The following is an 18,377-nucleotide window of genomic DNA, read 5'->3' on the forward strand; positions in this document are numbered from 1 at the left end:
GAACTGAATGAATTACTGATTTTTGAAAAATACTTAGAACCAGGAAGAGACCAACACCAGACTTTGAAAGTTGATACTGGCATAGCCAGAGACTTGACGATGGATATAGAATCACCAAGGCAAGAGCCTAGTACACAGTATACCCTCAATATGTCAGCTACTCTCATCCAGCTATGTAACCATGAAGCATATTTTAAAATAGAAAAGGGAAGGTAAGAAGGAAGCATGGTTAAAATGGTTACTTTCTAAAATATTAAAACTGGTCAGATTTAGGAGTTACTTTTTCCTTCTTTGTATTATTCTATTTTAATGTATTTGTACAATGCACATATGTTAATCTTCCTAGTTATAAAAGTAGTGTTTTTTAAAGAGTATAGTATTTATTACTATTTCTGACATTTCACAAAGCATTTTTGCTGACATTCCATAAATGGCACCATCTAATAATGTTCTATTATTTTCTTTTTGTGAAAGGAGCTCGTATTTTTAAAATATTTCGGTACTATTTGTTATTTCAAAGAGATATTTCCTTATTCATTTTTTTCCCTCTTTCTTTAATATAAACAAGCAAACTTCAAGTGCCATTTTTTAAGAAACTAAGCTCTTTCAAAACCTCTGGAAGATCTGTATTTGGAAAAAGGTTGAAACCAATCTGGAAAAATAGTTCTTGAGCGCATTTTCCCAGCGTGTAGAGGTGAACTGCTTTGTTTGCCTACACAAGCATCTGAAATAGATCAATAACCACCTTAAGATGTATTTTATAGACAGAAGGCACCATCACCAGTGTCTTCCATTTTTTCTTAGGGCTCCAGCATTTTTTACATTTTAAATAAGAGAAGGGACAGTTTGATTCTGGAAATAGGTCTGGCTGCTGTCTTAACTGAATTCCAAAGGTAGCAGGATCCCACCCCCAAGTATGACTTCCTGCTCAGCCTCTGTGGGACTATGAACAAAAAAAATTTACCTCAGGAGCCTCCGGGGCAAATCTCATCTGCCACAAAGAACAATGCCTGCCTACCTCCTTCCCCAGCTGTCCTAGCCTAGGGGTCACTTACTGTCATCCAGTGGCATCTTTCTCTGTGGGGCAACAGCACTGGGCTTCAGGTTGCGATAGTCCCGGGAGAGTGCAGAGATGAGGCTGGCGTGGTTGATGGAGCGCACGGGCCACTGCTGCTCATTCTCTGGAAGGTTTGGCCACGGAAGCAGCAAGATGTTAGAGAGGGCTCGGCACACCAACACCTGGGCCTACAAGAGACCCCAAAGGCATCCATCAGAGGTCAGAGCCAAAGACCGTGGTGCGGCATGCCCAACACAGCCTTCAGCACCCGCTGGCTGCACACCTGGAACCCTAGCCCCCAGGCTCGTTTCTTGCAACCTGGGCAAGGCCTTTGGTCCAACTGGAAGGCAACTTAGGGAGGAAGATGAAATGAAGTAATAGCACCATGTCTAGGTCTAGCATAACCCAGAGCTAACCTCTCGTTTCCTCTCTAATCTGATACTTGAAGTATTAGAGAGGGAAAAATCACACTGCAGACACTGAATCTCAGGCATTGTTCAGCTGGTGGCTTCTGAGTCCTCTGAGAAGCTACTTAGAGCAGGACTTGCAGGAGAATCCGTGACAATCCATGCCCCTAGCACCAGGTCACATCCTGCAATCACATCCTGGTGCCCTCTGGTACCCTCTTCAAACCTTCCTGCCCTCCCTCCTGTTAGGTGGTTTTTAAACTTCTAGCTTGAGCCTCCTTTGAGGATTCTAAGAAAATGCACTTGCCTGGCACTTCTCAACCCCAAAGAACACACACAGAACAGTGACAACAAAAACCAGACTGCTTTGAATCAGAAAGAATGCAAAGAGAATTCTCACAACACTGGCCGAAATTACCAGGCTGCAAAGCAGCAAAACCTTTCTGCACACTGGGAGGTGCTTTTCCACGCCTCAATCAGCACACTGACTGCCTGCCTTAGAATGGGCACGATGAGAATCACTGAGTCTGTGTCAGTGCCACACAATAAGAAATCTGTCTATGCTGGTACAGCCTGTAAGCTCTGAGTACAAAATCAAAGGCCAGACTCTTCTTCCTCAGCTTCCTTGGGTCTCAGTCACACAGCCCTGGGGACCCCGGGGGAGCTCTGGGGCCTCACCTTATCGACAAGTCGCAGGGCAGAGGCATCAGTGATTCTGTTGAATACTTTCTGCACTGCAGGGATGCTGATCAGAAAGACGGGCCGCACGGTGGTGGCCAGTGAGACCAGTAAGTGGCACGCAGATAGCAGCAGCTTGTCTTGGACCTGCAGAGGGAAGAGGGCACGTCAGCTCACCACATCCCTGTAAGACTGGGATTCGAACTTTGCTGAGGCAGCCACAAGCTATGTGTCATTCTTGGTTTCCAAATTACACCACCTAGGCCCTATCTAGCTCAAGAATTTTTCCTATGATGACTACAAGAGAAGCCCATCTTCTCTGTCATGTCCACAGCTCCTGCCGCAGCCATTATCACCTCCTCCCGTTCCTCCTTCACAGTCACCAGCAGCCTTGAACTCAGGCACTTCTCAGCTTAGAGTCTGCAGTGGCTCCCTATCAGCTATTAAATCACACTCCCTGGCATGTCATCCAGGTCCTAGAATTCTTCACCTCACTAATTGTTCCAGCAGAGCCAAGATCTCCCCGAGCCCCCGACTCTTCTGTGCCTTAACACTCAGGCCAGTCTCTCCTACTGCTTTCCCTTCAGCATGCCTATCAAATACTTGGTTCAATTACCACTGTTGCTTTCAAATTAGCAAAGGAGAAAAACGTGTTACAGATGGGACCTAATGCTGGTAAGACTAAGATAAAAACAGCACACCAAAAAGTCAAGGCAGGCAGAATTACTTCGGGAAAAAAATTACTATGATTTCCCAAAGTCACAAAATATTCCTAACCTTTAACCCTTACTCTAAGATTACCTATAACCTATAATACTTACTCTAAGAAGATTACCTAAAAGGGTAAAGCTACATTCATGAATGTGTGCATTTCAGAATTCTTTATAATTTTTTATTTTTTAAGGGAGGCAGCCTAGAAGTCCAGCAATGGCTAGGAAAATAATGAAACATATTCCTGATGGGATAGGACTATTTTCAAAGTTATAATTATAAATACAACATAAATTTATGGAAAGCAACACATTGTTATTAAAACAATACACTGTTTAAAAATGTATAAAATGTTATGTATGACTAAAACTACAAAAAAATTCAAAGAATAAACACATATATGCTCTAGTAATATAGCAGACTTGGAGGATAACATAATAGAATCTGTCCAGTTTTAACATGGATATAACCTTTGACTCAGTAATTCCACTTCCAGGAATCTATCCTTCAGGCCCACTAGCATATGTAAGATGGACATAAAAGGAACTCATTTCTAGCAATAGGAAAATTATTATACATCCTCACAAAAAAAAAAAAAAAAAACCACTGGACATTTTGACAATCTGAAGTTGCTGTACATATGTAAAGGAAAATGAAGGCATACTGTTAGGCAAAAGCAGCTATATCTCCAGCTATCTACAAACTTAGTTATTACTTATTACATAAAAAGAGAAAAAAGTCTGGAAGGATATACAGGCATACCTCAGAGATACTGCAGGTTCAGCTCCAGACCACCACAATAAAGCAAATTATGCAATAACGCAAGGCACACTAATTTTTTTGTTTCCCAATGCATATGTTTTGTTTACACTATAGTCTATAAAGTGTGCAATAAGCATTATGTCTAAGAAAACAATGTACATATCTTAGTTAAAAAGTAGTTTATTGCTAAAAATGCTAACAATCATCTGAGCCTTCAGAGCGGTAATCTTTTTGCTGGTGAAGGGTCTTCCTTGAAAGTGACTGCTGCTGACTGAACAGGGTGGTGGTTGCTCAAAGTTGGGGTGGCTGTGGCAATTACTTAAAATAAGACAACAATGAAGTTTGCTGCATCGATTGACTTCCTTTCATGAAATATTTCTCTGGAGCATGCGGTGCCGTTTCATAGCATTTTGCCCACAGTAGAACTTCTTTCAAAGTTGGAGTCAGTCCTCTCAAACCCTGCTGCTGCTTCATCAACTGAGTTTATGTGTTATTCTAATCCTCTGTTATTTCAACAATGTTCACAGCATCTTCACCAGTTGATTCCATCTCAAAAACCCACTTTCTTTGGTCATTTACAAGAAGCAAGTCCCCATCTGTTCAAGCTTGATCCTGAGATTGCAGCAATTCCATCCCATCTTCAGACTCCGCCTCTAGTTCTCCTGTTATTTCCACATCTGCAGTTACTTTCTTTACTGAAGTCCTGAACCCCTTAAAGTCATCTATGAGGCTGGGAACCAACTTCTTCCAAACTCCCATTAATGCTGATATTTTGATCTGCTTCCATGAATCATGAATGTCTTTAATGGCATCTAGAATGGTGAATCCTTCCCAGAAGGTTTTCAGTTTATTTGCCCAGATCCACTGGAGGAACCACCATCTATGGCAGCTATAGTCTTATGAAACGTATTTCTGAAACAGTAAGACTTGAAAGCCAAAATTACCCCTTGACCCATGGGCTACAGAACTACAGAATGGATGTTGTGTGAGCAGCCATGGAAACTATGGAAACTAATATCTTTGAACATCTCCATCTGAGTCCTTAGGTAACCAGGTGCATTGCCAATCAGCAGATTTTGAAAGGAATCTTTTTTTCTGAGCAGGTCTCCATAATGAGCTTAAAATATTCAGTAAACCATGATGTAAACAGATGTGCTGTCATTCAGGCTTTGTTGTTCCATTTATAGAGACAGGCAAAGTAGATTCAGCATAATTCCTAAGGGCCCTAGGATTTTCAGAATGATACATGAGCACTGGCTTCAACCTGAAGTCTCCAGTTGCAGTTGCCCCCTGACAAGAGAGTTGGCCTGTCCTCTGAAGCCAGGCACTGACTCCTCCTCTCTGGCTATCCAAGTCCCAGATGGCACCTTCTTCCAGTATAAAGCTGTCTCATCTACACAGAAAATCTGTTGTTTAGTATGGCCACCTTCAGCAGTGATCTAGAACTTCTGGAGAACTTGCTGCAGCTTCTCCATCAGCACTTGCTGCTTCATCCTGGAGATGGCTTCTTTCCTTAAACCTCATGAACCAACCTGTGTTAGCTTCCAACTCTTCTTCTGTAGCTTCCTCACCTCTCTCAGCCTTCACAGAATTGAAGGGCCTGATCTGGATTTGGCTTTGGCTTAAGGGAATGTTGTGGCTAGCTTGGTCTATCCAAACCACTGAAACCTTCCTCATATCAACAACAAGGCTGTTGTACTTTCTCATCACTCATGTGTTCACTGAAGCAGAAATTTTAATCTCCTCCAAGAACTTTTCCTTTGCATTCACAACTTGGCTGTTTGGCTCAAGAGCCTTTGGCCAGGCCGGGCGCGGTGGCTCACGCCCGTAATCCCAGCACTTTGGGAGGCCAAGGCGGGCAGATCATGAGGTCAGGAGATCAAGACCATCCTGGCTAACATGGTGAAACCCCGTCTCTACAAAAAATACAAAAAAATTAGCCAGGCAAGGCGGCAGGCGCCAGTAGTCCCAGCTACTCAAGAGGCTGAGGCAGGAGAATGGCGTGAACCCGGGAGACGGAGCTTGCAGTGAGCCAAGATCACGCCACTGCACTCCAGCCCGGGCGACAGAGCGAGACTCCATCTCAACAACAACAAAAACGACAAAAAAAAAAAAAAAAGAGCCTTTGGCCTATCCTGGCTTTTGACACGCCTTCCTCACTAAGCTTAATCATTTCTAGATTTTTATTTAAAGTAAGAGACATGTGACTCTTCCTTTCACTCGAACACGTAAAGGTCATTGTAGGGTTATTAAATGGCTCAGGGAATAGGGAGGCCTAAAGACAGGAAGATGGGGAAGCCTCCAATCAGTGGAGCAGTCAGAACACACACATTTATCAATCAAGTTTGCAGTCTTTGGTTTGTGGCACTCCAAAATAATTACAATAGTAACATTAAAGATCACTGATCACAAATCGCTGTAAGATATAGTAACAAAAAAGTCTGAAATATTCTAACAATTACCAAAATGTAACACATGGAAGCACCAAATACTGTCAAAAAAATGGTGCTGACAGATTTGCTTGATGCAGGGTTGCCATAAGCCTTCAACTTGTAAAAAACACAGTCTCTGTGAAGCGCAATAAAGGGAAGTGCAATAAAATGAGGTGTGCCTGCACAACCACTGCCCAACTGTGCTTACCGCGCGAAGGAAAATGTTTCAGAGGTATCACAACTTTTTAGTCTGGAAATCTGAATGATATTTTACTTTTTCACAGTGAGCATGTATTCATGTGGAACTCAGATAACTAAAAAAGTAAAGTTGTATCTGAATGCATGTAGGCTACAACTAAAAAGGAACATGAAATAAAACAGATGTATAACAGCAGAAAGATTTATGGGTCTAACTCTGTGTCATATTTAGATTTTCTAGTAAATGGGTATAGGAACAGAAGGAGAGACAGAGAGTTAGATAAAAGGTGTAGGCTTTGCTGTTTCGAGACCTTGGTGCTGATTAGAGGTGTGATTGCATCCATGGTAGTAGAGATGAGTGTCACGAACTGCTGCGTGTTCTGCCGGTGAACTTCACTGCAATACTGTGCTAACCAGTGAGAGTAAGCCTGCAGCGCAGCCAGGGACTGAGCATGCCTGCAGAAAGAAAAGAAGATGTGATTTTAAAGGTTAAGGTGAAAATATATTAGCGTTCAACTCATTTTCATAGGAGGTAAGAATTGCATCCACTGCATTTGCTGTTCTAAGACATGGGCAACAGCATAGAAATCATTTACCGGTTCACGTAGAACCTAAAAACTAAGATATTCATCATCTAAACATTGCCACCGCTGACTAGAGCACAGAAGGCAGTTAGTCAATGTCTACTGAATCTTATTCAATCTTTCTGTGACACATGCTCACCTAAGAGAAAGGTAAATTATAAAAGCAAAATCAAAGAACTTAAGTGATCATGTGTTGACTTCAGAACTAGTACAAATTTAACATTCCTAGCTGCAGACTAAAGCGTAGACAACTACCAGGTGTGACAGCTTTATAAACAGAGCTTTGATGTCAGATTTTGGAGTTTAAGCTTCCACTGCACCACACATTCCACCTGGCTAGGGAATAACTGAGGCGGCAAAGACTATGTTTGGTTTCAGCAAAGGCTGTACTGACTGCATCGTACATGCAACAAAATATACATCAAAAAAGTATGCAATTCATCAAATATAATAAACAATCAATCTTAAACAAGGAGAGACAGTTGTCTCGGAGCTTCAAAACACCAAGCCTTCCAACATACCTAAATGTAATTACCTTTCGGTAATAATTAGTAAGTTGTAAGGTGGTACTACTATGAGGTGACACAAAGACAGTGTTCCTCATGGTTTGGGCATTTATTAACGACTCCTGCCTAAATCAGTATTACATTGGTGGTTGTGAATTGGTAATTTTTCTATCTTTCCTTTTCTCCTCATTAGTTGGCAGTCTTCTCTAAAAAGAGGCTTTCCCTCCTCTCATCCTTATTTTGTTAATCACTTTGGGTTTTTGTTTATCTGTTTGTTTACTTGAGACAGGGTCATATTCTGTTGCTCAGGCTGGCATGCAGGGGCACGATCATGGCTCACTGCAGCCTCAACCTTCTGGGCTCAAGTGATTCTCCTGCTTCAGCCTCCCAAGTAGCTGGGATTACAGGTCCATGCCACCATGCCAGGCTAATTGTCGTATTTTTTGTAGAAATGGGGTCTATGTTGGCCAGGCTGGTCTCAAACTCCTGACTTCAAGCGATCCTTCTGCCTTGGCCTCCCAAAGGGCTGGGATTGCAGGTGTGAGGCACTGCACCGGCCTAGCCTGTTAATCACTTTGAATGAGTAGATTATTTTCATTCAAACTGGTATAATTCATTATTGTCCTTATTCTTTCTTGATGACTGAACTGTCAAGTTTGACCAGGAAGAACCCTTTCAAGCTGGGTCCTGCATCCTCTTCACATGTTCCCAACAGTCACTGAGCACTTCCTTACTTGCTGACTTGGCAAGATTGTCCAACATCACCCCCCCAGACTTGAGCTTTTTTCTCCAAGGTGCTCTGGAGAATGGATTTGAGAAACCAAGACCTGGGGAAAACGGATAGGATTGCTACTGGATTGTCACTGTTTCTAGGAGCTTTCAGCAGACAGAATTAGGATATAGGCAGGTATCACTTTATTTACTTATTTATGTTGCTGAAACAGGGTCTCGCTCTGTTGCCCAGGCAGGAGTGCAGTGGCACAATCATAGCTCACAGCAGCCTCCAACTCCTGGGCTCAAGCAATTCTCCTGGCTTGCAATTCTAAGTGGCTGGGGCCACAGGCATGCACCACTATGTCCGGCTATTTTTTTTTTTTTTTTTGGTAGGGACAGAGTCTCACTATGTTGCCCAGGCTCCTCTCAAACTCCTGGGCTCAAGCGATCTTCCCACCTCAACCTCCCAAAGTGCTGGGATTACAAACATGAGCCAGTGTGTCCAGCCTAGACACCATTTTAAAAGCAAACTCAGCATCAACAATTACAGGGAAATTTGATATTAAGAGCCTTCTGACATGATGCAAGAGGAAAGGCACATCATTGCCTATGTAGTAACCTTGCTAAAAATGTTTAAACTGAATCTAATATAATGGAAATAATTAGACAAATCCAGATTGTAGGACATGCTTTTAAAAAAATTAAGATCTGGATCTGCAAAAGGTCCTCAGTCACTCTCACACACACACGCACATGCAGACATACAAACACAATTGGGTGAACTGTTCTAGACTATAGGAAATACATTTAATGTGTGGCTCATGATTAGTTAGACCTTGGATCCAAGAAAAAAAAAAGATACAAAAACATTCCTGGGACAACTGAAGAAATTTTAATATGGACTATATATGAGATGACATTATTGTATGTATTAAATTATGTGAGGGTTGATAATGATATCATAGTTAAAGAGCTGAATGAACTTATTTCTAGGATACACACACTGAAGGATTTACGGGTGAAGTGACATGTTGTCTGTAATTTCTTTTCTTTCTTTTCTTTTTTGAGACAGGGTCTCACTCTGTCACCCAGGCTGGAGAGCAGTGGTGTGATCTCAGCCTCCCGGGTTCAAGCGACTCTCCCAGCTCAGCCTCCCGAGTAGTTGGGACTACAGGTGCAAGTGCCACCATGCCCGGCTAATTTTTATATTTTTTGGTAGAGACAGGGTTTCACCACGTTGGTCAGGCTGGACTTGAACTCCTGACCTCAAGTGATCCGCCTGCCTCGGCCTCCCAAAATGCTGGGATTACAGGTATGAATCATCACGTTCAGCCATGCAGTTTATTTTCAAATGGCTCAGCAAAATAATAATAATAATCATCATCATCATCATCATGTATTGTGTGCAGAGAGGGCACAAGAAACAAAAGCCAATTTGTAATTGGTTACTCTAGGCTAAGGGTCCATGGGTGCTTATTCGCCTGTTTTTCCCATTTTCTATAGGTTTGAACTTTTTCAAAATTAGCAGTTGGGTAAGAAAATGTGCTAGTACTTTAAAGTAAGAAAATATAGTTACTGAAAGTTTGAAATTCATAGTGACCACACAGTTATTTTGTATTTTACATTTAAAATTTTATTTTATATTTAGAATCACATTACCCTTTAAGTTCTAAATACCAAAATAAAGAGAAAGGACATCAAAGTCAGCCTTAGGAGTAAGAATTTCAGTCAATCTAGCACATCTGTAGAGCTCCTCAAGGCTGAAAGGAGGGGCTCTGAAACTCCCAAAATGTGTACAAGTTGTTGTATTTATAAGGAAACTGGCATCTTTCTTGGGAGATGCTTTACAACTTTCTCTAAATTCTCAAAAGGGAAAGCAATATATTTTTTAAAAGTTTAAAACCACCATAGTAAGTAAGATTCTCTTTCCATCGTTTATCTAATCTGCAGCTCAAGAATGCTCTACAGCAGGAGTCGGCAGACCTTTTCTGTAAAAACCCGAGTGTATATATTTTCAGATTTGCAGGGCATACATACACACTGTCACAGCTACTCTACTCTGCTGCTATAGTGCAAAACCACTCCCAGACCGTATGTAAATCAATGTAGCTGTGTTTCAATAAAACTTTATTTACAAAAGCAGTCAGTAAGCCAGATTTGGCAAAGGCCATAGTTTGCCAACCCCCTGCTCTCATCTAAAGCAAGTCTTCTGGGCAGTGAAATCTCTGGGATACTGCCCATCTCCTGTCCCTGTCCTTCCATATGTCACTTTCCTAACAGCATCCCATGTTATCTGTAGAGTTTCTGTAGGTAGAGAGTGTGGTCTCTAGATGTCCTGCTTCAAAATAACCTGGGGTTCTTGTTTAATACGCAAATACCCAAGCCTTATGGCCTTATGCCATTCTGCTAAAATCAGAATCTCTGAGAAATGTGTTCCCCAAGCATTCTTCTGCATCCTACAGTATCCTACAGTTTTAGTCAATGATCTACAGGAAAGACTGATGGCATCTGAGGTGTTTCCCATTAGTCCCAACACACCTATCCAGTCTCTTCTTGCACTACATGGAGTAGCCACCTCCTGCCTGTGTGACTGTCTCAGCCTGTACTGTTCTTTCCTCCTGAAATGCCTACTCCATAGAATCTCCATCCCAGCTCTCACTTACCTAATTCCACTTTCTCCAACCGCCTCTGCCCCAGACATATAGTCAAAAAAATCTCTCTCTCTTTCTAGGTTTGCAGTTTAAGAGTTTTTCCCTGATTCATGGCAGCCACTACTGTTCCTTTTTCTCAATCAAATTATTTGGAGATTGGGGGCAAGGTCTTTCCTAAAAATGCACAAACATCAAACTCTAGACTTACACATCAATGAGGTCAGGTTTCAATACTGATGGCACAGCAGTTTCAATGTTGTACAATTTTATCTGAGATCCGTACAGAGTGACTTTGACCAACCTGTTGGCAAAGAGGCAGGTAAACAAGAACATTCAGCTTATGAACTAAGACAGACAAAACAGACAAGGCTGGTACCAGCAAAGAGCGTAAGGGCAGACTTTTTCATATACAAAAAAGAATCAAGACCAGACTTTCAATTTTATGCCAAGGAAATAATCTGAGATATGCATAAAGATTTATATACAAGCATATTAACTAAAGCCTTATTGAAGGTGTCAAAAACTTTGAAAACAATATAAATATCCAACCCAGAGGAGGTAATACAATGCAATATATACAATAAAAACCATGCTTAGAGGCATATTTAATGATAAATATTCAGGATGTTTTAAACATGACATGGTTGTACTAAATATACATACAGAATACATCGTGAATGTTCATCTATTAACAGAAGACAGGCGGGAAGAAGTGTCACCAAAATATGCTTATTGGTACCACTTGTTTTAGGGGGAGGATAGAGTGGGTAGATTATGGATGATTTTTTTCCCTCTATTTTTCTGCATTTCCAAATTATCTACAATTAATATATAATGTTTTATAAATGAGGAGAATAAAAAATAGTTCTTAAAAAGCAGGCAGAATGTGGTTGCTCATGCCTGTAATCCCAGCACTTTGGGAGGCCAAGGTGGGAGGATCACTTGAGTCCAGGAGTTCAAGACCAGCCTGGACAACAAAGTAGGACCCTGTCTTTTAAAATTTTATCCAGATGTGGTGGCACATGCCTGTAGTCTCAGCTACTTGGGAGAGGCTAAGTAGGGAGGACTGCTTGAGCCCAGGAGGTTGAGGATGGACTAAGCCAGGATCATGCCATTGCACTCCAGCCTGGGTAACAGAACAAGACCAAAATCCTGTTTGTTTGTTTTGTTTTGTTTTGTTTTAAAAAAAAAACTGCTCTTTTGGCAGTTTATCGAAATAGGATGACGTGGGCTTTTCTATAAAATTTGATAATGATAAAACCATCTTAGCTTTTATTTAAAATCATTTTTAAAAGGAAATGTTTCAGATGGGTTGATACATAATAAAAAAAATACAGCAAACTGTCCACCATAGAATCTATGTGGTGGGTATATGTGTATTCCCTGTACAATTCTTTCAACTTTTCTTCAAATTTGAAAATGTTTGATAAAACTTTGGAGGAGGCAGATGAAAGGAGCAAATGTTTCTAGAATAGGTGGAGGTGTTTTATGTTCAAGTACAATTCTTTCAGAAGCAAGCTGTTGAGCCCACTGGTTGCTCAAGGGCTCACTGGATACTAACGAGCATTAAACACAATAACTAATAGCTCTATCTAGTAGGAAATGGGAAATGCCTCTTTCATTACAGACAGGACAACATTCCTTTCTCTCCTCTTTTTTTTGAGAAAGCGTCTTGCTCTGTCAACCAGGCCAGAGGATTGTAGTGATCTTGGCTCACTGCAGCCTAGACTTCTGGGGCTCAAGTGATCCTCCCGCCTCAGCGCCCCCTCCCATAGCGGGGACTACAGGCGCATGCCACCACACCCAGCTAAATTTTTTTGTCTTTTTAGTAGAGACAGGTTTCGTCATGTTGTCCAGGTTGGTCTTGAACTCCTGGACTCAAGCGATCTGCTCACCTCAGCCTCCCAAAGTGCTGGGATTACAGGTGAGCCACCACGCCTGGAGTTGAAAGACATTCCTTTCTGAGTGAAGGGGAAAAAACCCAAGACCTGGCTAGTTTCTCTCTGCCTACTCTGCGTGGAAACCTGGAAATGGATGCCAGGGAAGGCAGTGTTTGTCTTTGTCCCAGCATAACAATCAACTAAGGAACTTGTTACAAATACAAACTTGTATTTGTATTTCTGATTGCTGGGGAGCAATGAGAAAGCAATCAAAAAGGAGCACTTCCGGTCAGTCAAGAAAGTGAGGGCAAAAGAACTAAGGTTCCCAAAGTCCCACGAAGTCCTCGTGATCAGAACAGTTATTATCAGAAAACAATATACCAATATGCACCTGGTGTTTAAATCCTGTTCTACACTAAAAATGCATTTCCAAACATCTTTTAATGTGTCTGTGTTTAGCAGTTCTAATATTAGCTTTGTTTTATGTAACCAATAAATGAAAACACTGCTAATCATACTGGCTATTAAGGTCATGTAGTCATAACAAGAGCCTTCTCTCACATTTTATTCTAAATGAAGACAAAATATTAATAACAAGTATGTTTAAGCACTGGGCTTGGAAATCTAAGCAGTGCAGAAAGATAGGGACCTATCAAATGATTCAGGATCTTTGAGACATCATCTCACTACAAAGTTGAGATGACTGACAGATATACCTTTTTTTTTTTTTTTTGAGACGGAGTTTCACTCTTGTTGCCCAGGCTGGAGTGCACTGGCGCAATCTCAGCTCACTGCAACCTCCGCCTCCCAGGTTCAAGCGATTCTCCTGTCTCAGCCTCCTGAGTATCTGGGATTACAGGCGCATGTCCCCACGCCCGGCTAATTTTTGTATTTTTAGTAGAGATGGGGTTTCATCATATTGGTTAGGCTGGTCTTGAACTCCTGACCTCAGGTGATCTGCCCGCCTCAGCCTCCCAAAGTGTTGGGATTACGGGCGTGAGCCACTGCGCCCCGCCAACTGAACAGATAAGATATATCTATATTGCTTAACAGAGTAAGTTCAAATAATGGACTTATCTTTGGATTTCAGACAGAAAAACATGTCTTATCCCTGCTAAACCTCAGTGCAAATGGGCCCAGTACAAGAAGAGGAGGAGGAACGGACTGGCAATACAAACGCTACGGTTTGGAAAGCGCACAACATGTGGACCCAGGAAACTGTTAAAATCCACTCTCCCTCTCAAAGACTGTGTGAACCGAGGCAAGGCACTCACATCACTGAGCCACAATGTACTTACTCAACAATAAAACGGCAATGCCTGTCTCTCAAAGTACAGAACAAAATGAAAGACCATGTGCAAAAACACAGAAAATGTCCTACTACTGTGTGCTGTTTTTATTATTAATATGAATCTGGCTTTTAAGGGATTTAAGCCCCTTGGCTATCTTTGCTTTTCAGCTAAGATGTGGCAGTGAAGTCTGGCATGCATGCACCCAGGCTCCTGAGGCTCACTTCCCCTCTGCACGTCACCAGTGATGCGGCTGCTGGGCCAGTCGAAGCATCAGGTGTCTTGGCTTTGGGCTGGATCCACATCTACTCAGTTTTGATCTAACCAATTCAACAGCTGCCTTGAAATGATCTAAATGTCCTGTCACTTACATCTTGGGTTTTTCGAGGGGAGAAAGGGAGGAGGGACTGCTGACTGAGTAGAATCAAGTGTTCCTCAACAAGTGCATCTGTAAACCTGGTGTGAGACCCAAGAGGAAGGAGAAGAAAAGGAGCCCAGTGGTGAAAGGCTGGGAACCACCTTTCGGGCCAGGCGTGGAGGCTACCCAGCTTTCACTCCCGAGGCCCTAATGGGACTGGAAAAAACACAAAAAGCACCCTGTGCATCTAGCTGCCTACTTGGACAATGGAGTTGACTCCTTATCAGTAGGGCTTTCTTAATATCTCTTTATCCTATGAGGAAAGACATGAAGACTGACCTCTCCTGGTTTCTCCTGGGTCTACAACTGTGTTTACATTTATACACAAGATCTTCAAAGAAACAATACCTTAAATAACTTATCAGGCGTTTTGTTATGTGCTAGGCACAGTGCTAAGTGCTTTATCTCATTTAATTCTCACACTAAACCTACAGGAAACAACATCTACTTCATATTGTAAATGAGGGACCTGAAGTTCAGAGAGGTTAAGTAATTTGTTCCCTATCAGCTTGTATGTGGCAGAGCCTAGATTTACCCGGGGCCAGAGCAGAAGCTATTTGGCAATATGCTGCCCCTCACACAAGAAGGTAAAGCTGAACTCTGAAGAAGGAACAGCTCCATAAGGTAACTGCCAGCCTACCTTTCCACGACTGTGAGGGCATCATTGAACCGTGCAGCAAACACATCCCCGATAAAGTACTCGGCCAGGCGGCCCACGGCCTGCAGCAGGGAGCTCAAGTCTCTCAGGGAGCAGTGCAGCCGCCGGCAGTCGTTCTCCGCCGTGATGTTCAACCTGTGTCCTGGAACACAACACGCCAGACAGTTTTTCACAGGAAGACCACGCTTTAGATACTACAGATAACAGCTGGTCCAGCAAGCCACACACAGCAAAACCAGCAGCAAAACCAATTCGCGAAACAAAGCAACCCACGGGCTGCTTCCCAGTACTGAGCAGGGAAACTGGGCCCGGTATCCACCTAACACTACACGTTTGTGCTCCAGAGTCCAGGGACAGAGACAGAGTTGTGGGAAGGGGCAGACAGCCTGGAGTGTGCTAACGTGGAGGGAGCCCCTGATCTGATTCCTTTTGACCCTGTAAGGTCCTGACACCATCACTGTTACATACAAGGAGGCACACCCAGGGAGGCCCAGGCACTTGCCAAGCACGTGTCACATTTCCGGGGCAAGGCTGGTGTTCTACGCTGAGTCTATGTGACTCCAAATCTGGTTCCTTTAGGATAGGGCCCTATCTCAGAATGAAATTTCCATGGACCAACAGTTAGGACCCGCCCCTGCTAAGAGAGGAGAGGTACACTCAGCACTCCACCCCTGAAGGCTGGGAGGTGACACAGTATGAAATAAAGAGTATGGGACTTGGATTCCGAAGACACAGATTCCCCGCCACTTCTGGGCTCAGTGCCTCATACAACCCTCCTAAGCCTCAGTATCACTATTACAAGGGCCATGTTAAAATATATAACCCTCTAAGCTACAGAGCATTGTTCAGTATTTCTAATTATTATAAATAACAAAGAACTAGTGACTTACTAAGGTCTGAAATTTCCTTACTTTTCAACACAACTTCTTCAAACTGAATAAGGAGGATGCTAAGATGAAGGACAAAACATCCTCCCTTGATTCGGTCACTTCCTTGGTTTTTGGATCCCTCTCTTCACAAATGTCCACAAAAGATAGTAAGAATTTTCAGAGACCTGCAGGAACAGAGACCTGCAGGTCTGATTCAAGTCCTTCTCACTGACACAGCAGGAATGAGGGTGGGGTGGTAACACCACTAGGGCACCGTAACTAGGGCACCTACGATCCCAGAACTCCCCGGGTACTTTCCACACCTGCTCCCTCCCCCTACTTCAGTTCTCTCCTGTCTCTTAGGAGGCGAGACTCACACTGGTCATCACCAACCCTCCTCCTCACACTGGTCACCACCAACCCTCCTCCCGCTGTGCTCCAAAATCAGCTTCCCAGAGCCCAGACTAAGCTTGCAGCTCCCCTGAAGCAGGTGCTGAAGCCTCTGGAGGCTCTCTCCTGCTAAAAGGGGAGAGCCTAGACTCTCCAGTATCAACTCAGCTCTCTCATGGCCTCGCCACCTTCTACTATGCCACTATGTCATCCAGATCCACTGGTAATTCCCCAGAGCCTCGTGTCTCTGTGCCTCTGCCTAGACTGCTGATCATGTCATCCTCTGCCCACCCAAGCTTTGCAAGCTCCTACATAGCCTCCAGCCTCTCAGGGGCATCCTGTCTCTGTGGGGCCTCCCCACTCCTGCCTTCCTCCTTGGCACCCGTGCCCATAAGGAGATAAACCGATGATTTACAAGTCCATCTCCTTACTGACCACAAAATCCCTCGTGGTGAGCAGCTATGTCCAGCAGCCAGCACAGCAGCTGGTACAGAGTGAGTGACCGTAAATGTATGAATGATTTAGATGCAACAGAACAGACGGCAAACTAGAGCAGGACAGGGAGTCCCAGGCAGCTTCCTTCCTCACCCTGTCCCTGGGAATACTGGCATGTATTACTGACAGTAAACACGGATGGGTGGCACCTGCAGAAAGGAAGGGTGGACACCTACAAAGCACGTGGCAAATGAAGTAGCAGGCTGAATGCCTCGATCCGCCACCAACGTCAAGGGATGAGGCTCGCAACAGTGCCTGCGACAGCCCCCAAAGGAAGACACGAGGCTGGAAGAGGGGACAGAGGGCCACATCTTAAGGAGCAGGAGAACGAAAGAAGAGGTAACTCATGGAAGGACCTCAGACAGAGAGGGCCAGTGACAAAGGCTGGTTTTGACCTGTCCCAAATCACCTGGTCCTGCCTCCTCCACTCCACAAGGACAGCAGTGCCCTGGCGCAGAAACAAGATGGCAGCCCTGAAGAGGCTGTGGGTGCAGCTAATGAGTAAGCCAGCTCCTCCAACCACAGCAACAGAATGACCATCCCACCCAGCCAGACGAACTCACGGAACCAATGAACTGAGAGGGATTTTCATCACACTGGTTGTACGAAAGGGAACACAGACTTCATGGGCTACAAAAAGAGACAGCCCCAATCTCTCAGTTAACTGAAGTGCCAAAATTATACACCCTCTGAATGTCAATGGGATTTTCAAGGTTATATCTATGCAACCAACTCCCAGGGTTGACTTCTAAAACCTGCTCCTCCTCTGCACACCAACCAGACCTCAGGGCTCTGTGGGAATAAACTCTAATGAAAAATACACCCTGACACTGGGTATAGCATAGTACAGGCCCAAAAAGAGGGGAGGCCAGCTTTTCTTTCTCAGAGCAACACTGGGGGTCACTGAGTCCGCTTCAGCAGTCCCTGGCACTCTCCACATGCTCAACCTTCATTTCGCACCTCCACCTCCCCCCAGGCTCTACCCTGACCACCAGTTTCCAACTTCTCTATAGTATCCAATTCCTTCAACTAGGTACCTGCTGAATACCTGAGAACAAGCTTCTTAAGTATTTTAAGTGTACAAGGGGAACACTGTATTTGTTTTAAAAACCAAACCAAAACACTACCCTAAATCAAGTTTCCATTTGAGTATGGTCCTTAATAGACAATTACTAGAGAGCTTAAAAGTCGCCCTGACCAAGCCGTCCCCTCTGCCCAGCACTTCCCCTGCACACCCGGCCCTTCAGCCTCTTCCTGGACCTCGGCTGAATGCTAGGGAGCTCAAGGGAGCCCTTCCATCTCTGGACAACTTGGTCACAAACACGGGTAAAGTAAATCTCCCTGTGATTGCTCATCACCCCTGGCCCACTCCTTGAGGGTAGAACACAGAACAAGCCAAAGCCTGCTGACAGCATGATAGCCCTGGGGATGTAACCCCTCATTACCCTCCTGAGAATCCTTGCCATCCTGATCCCTCCCCTCTGAACTTGTCCTATTTTGTCTAGCAAAGAGCAGTACCTAGGATGACAACTATGGGTACCTAGCATCCAGTACCCAGGATGGAAAACAGCTTGGAAGTGCTGGGTGTGTGTTTTAAACTGTGAGTTTGAACAATATGAAACTGTTGACACTTGATCACTTCTGACCCAACAAAACTGCAATTCCATACAGTTCCACT

At 43.6% G+C, this 18,377-nt stretch overlaps 1 protein-coding gene and 1 pseudogene across 2 annotated transcripts in view; both read right to left on the reverse strand.

Moving 5' to 3' along the window:
- Positions 1 to 18,377, reverse strand: part of XPO6 (exportin 6) — a 113,990-nt gene that overhangs the window by 12,786 nt on the left and 82,827 nt on the right. For both annotated transcript variants that reach the window (NM_015171.4, NM_001270940.2), the window contains 5 exons: positions 14,928 to 15,087; positions 10,909 to 11,001; positions 6,557 to 6,701; positions 2,143 to 2,289; positions 1,056 to 1,245 (listed from right to left, as the gene is read on the reverse strand). In NM_015171.4, coding sequence (NP_055986.1) covers positions 1,056 to 1,245; positions 2,143 to 2,289; positions 6,557 to 6,701; positions 10,909 to 11,001; positions 14,928 to 15,087 — 735 coding nt within the window. The remainder of the gene's footprint in view (positions 1 to 1,055; positions 1,246 to 2,142; positions 2,290 to 6,556; positions 6,702 to 10,908; positions 11,002 to 14,927; positions 15,088 to 18,377) is intronic.
- TPRKBP2 (TP53RK binding protein pseudogene 2) lies at positions 412 to 886 on the reverse strand (annotated as a pseudogene).

The sequence above is a fragment of the Homo sapiens genome, chromosome 16 (genome assembly GCF_000001405.40).
Source record: "Homo sapiens chromosome 16, GRCh38.p14 Primary Assembly".
NCBI classification, from domain to species: domain Eukaryota; kingdom Metazoa; phylum Chordata; class Mammalia; order Primates; family Hominidae; genus Homo; species Homo sapiens.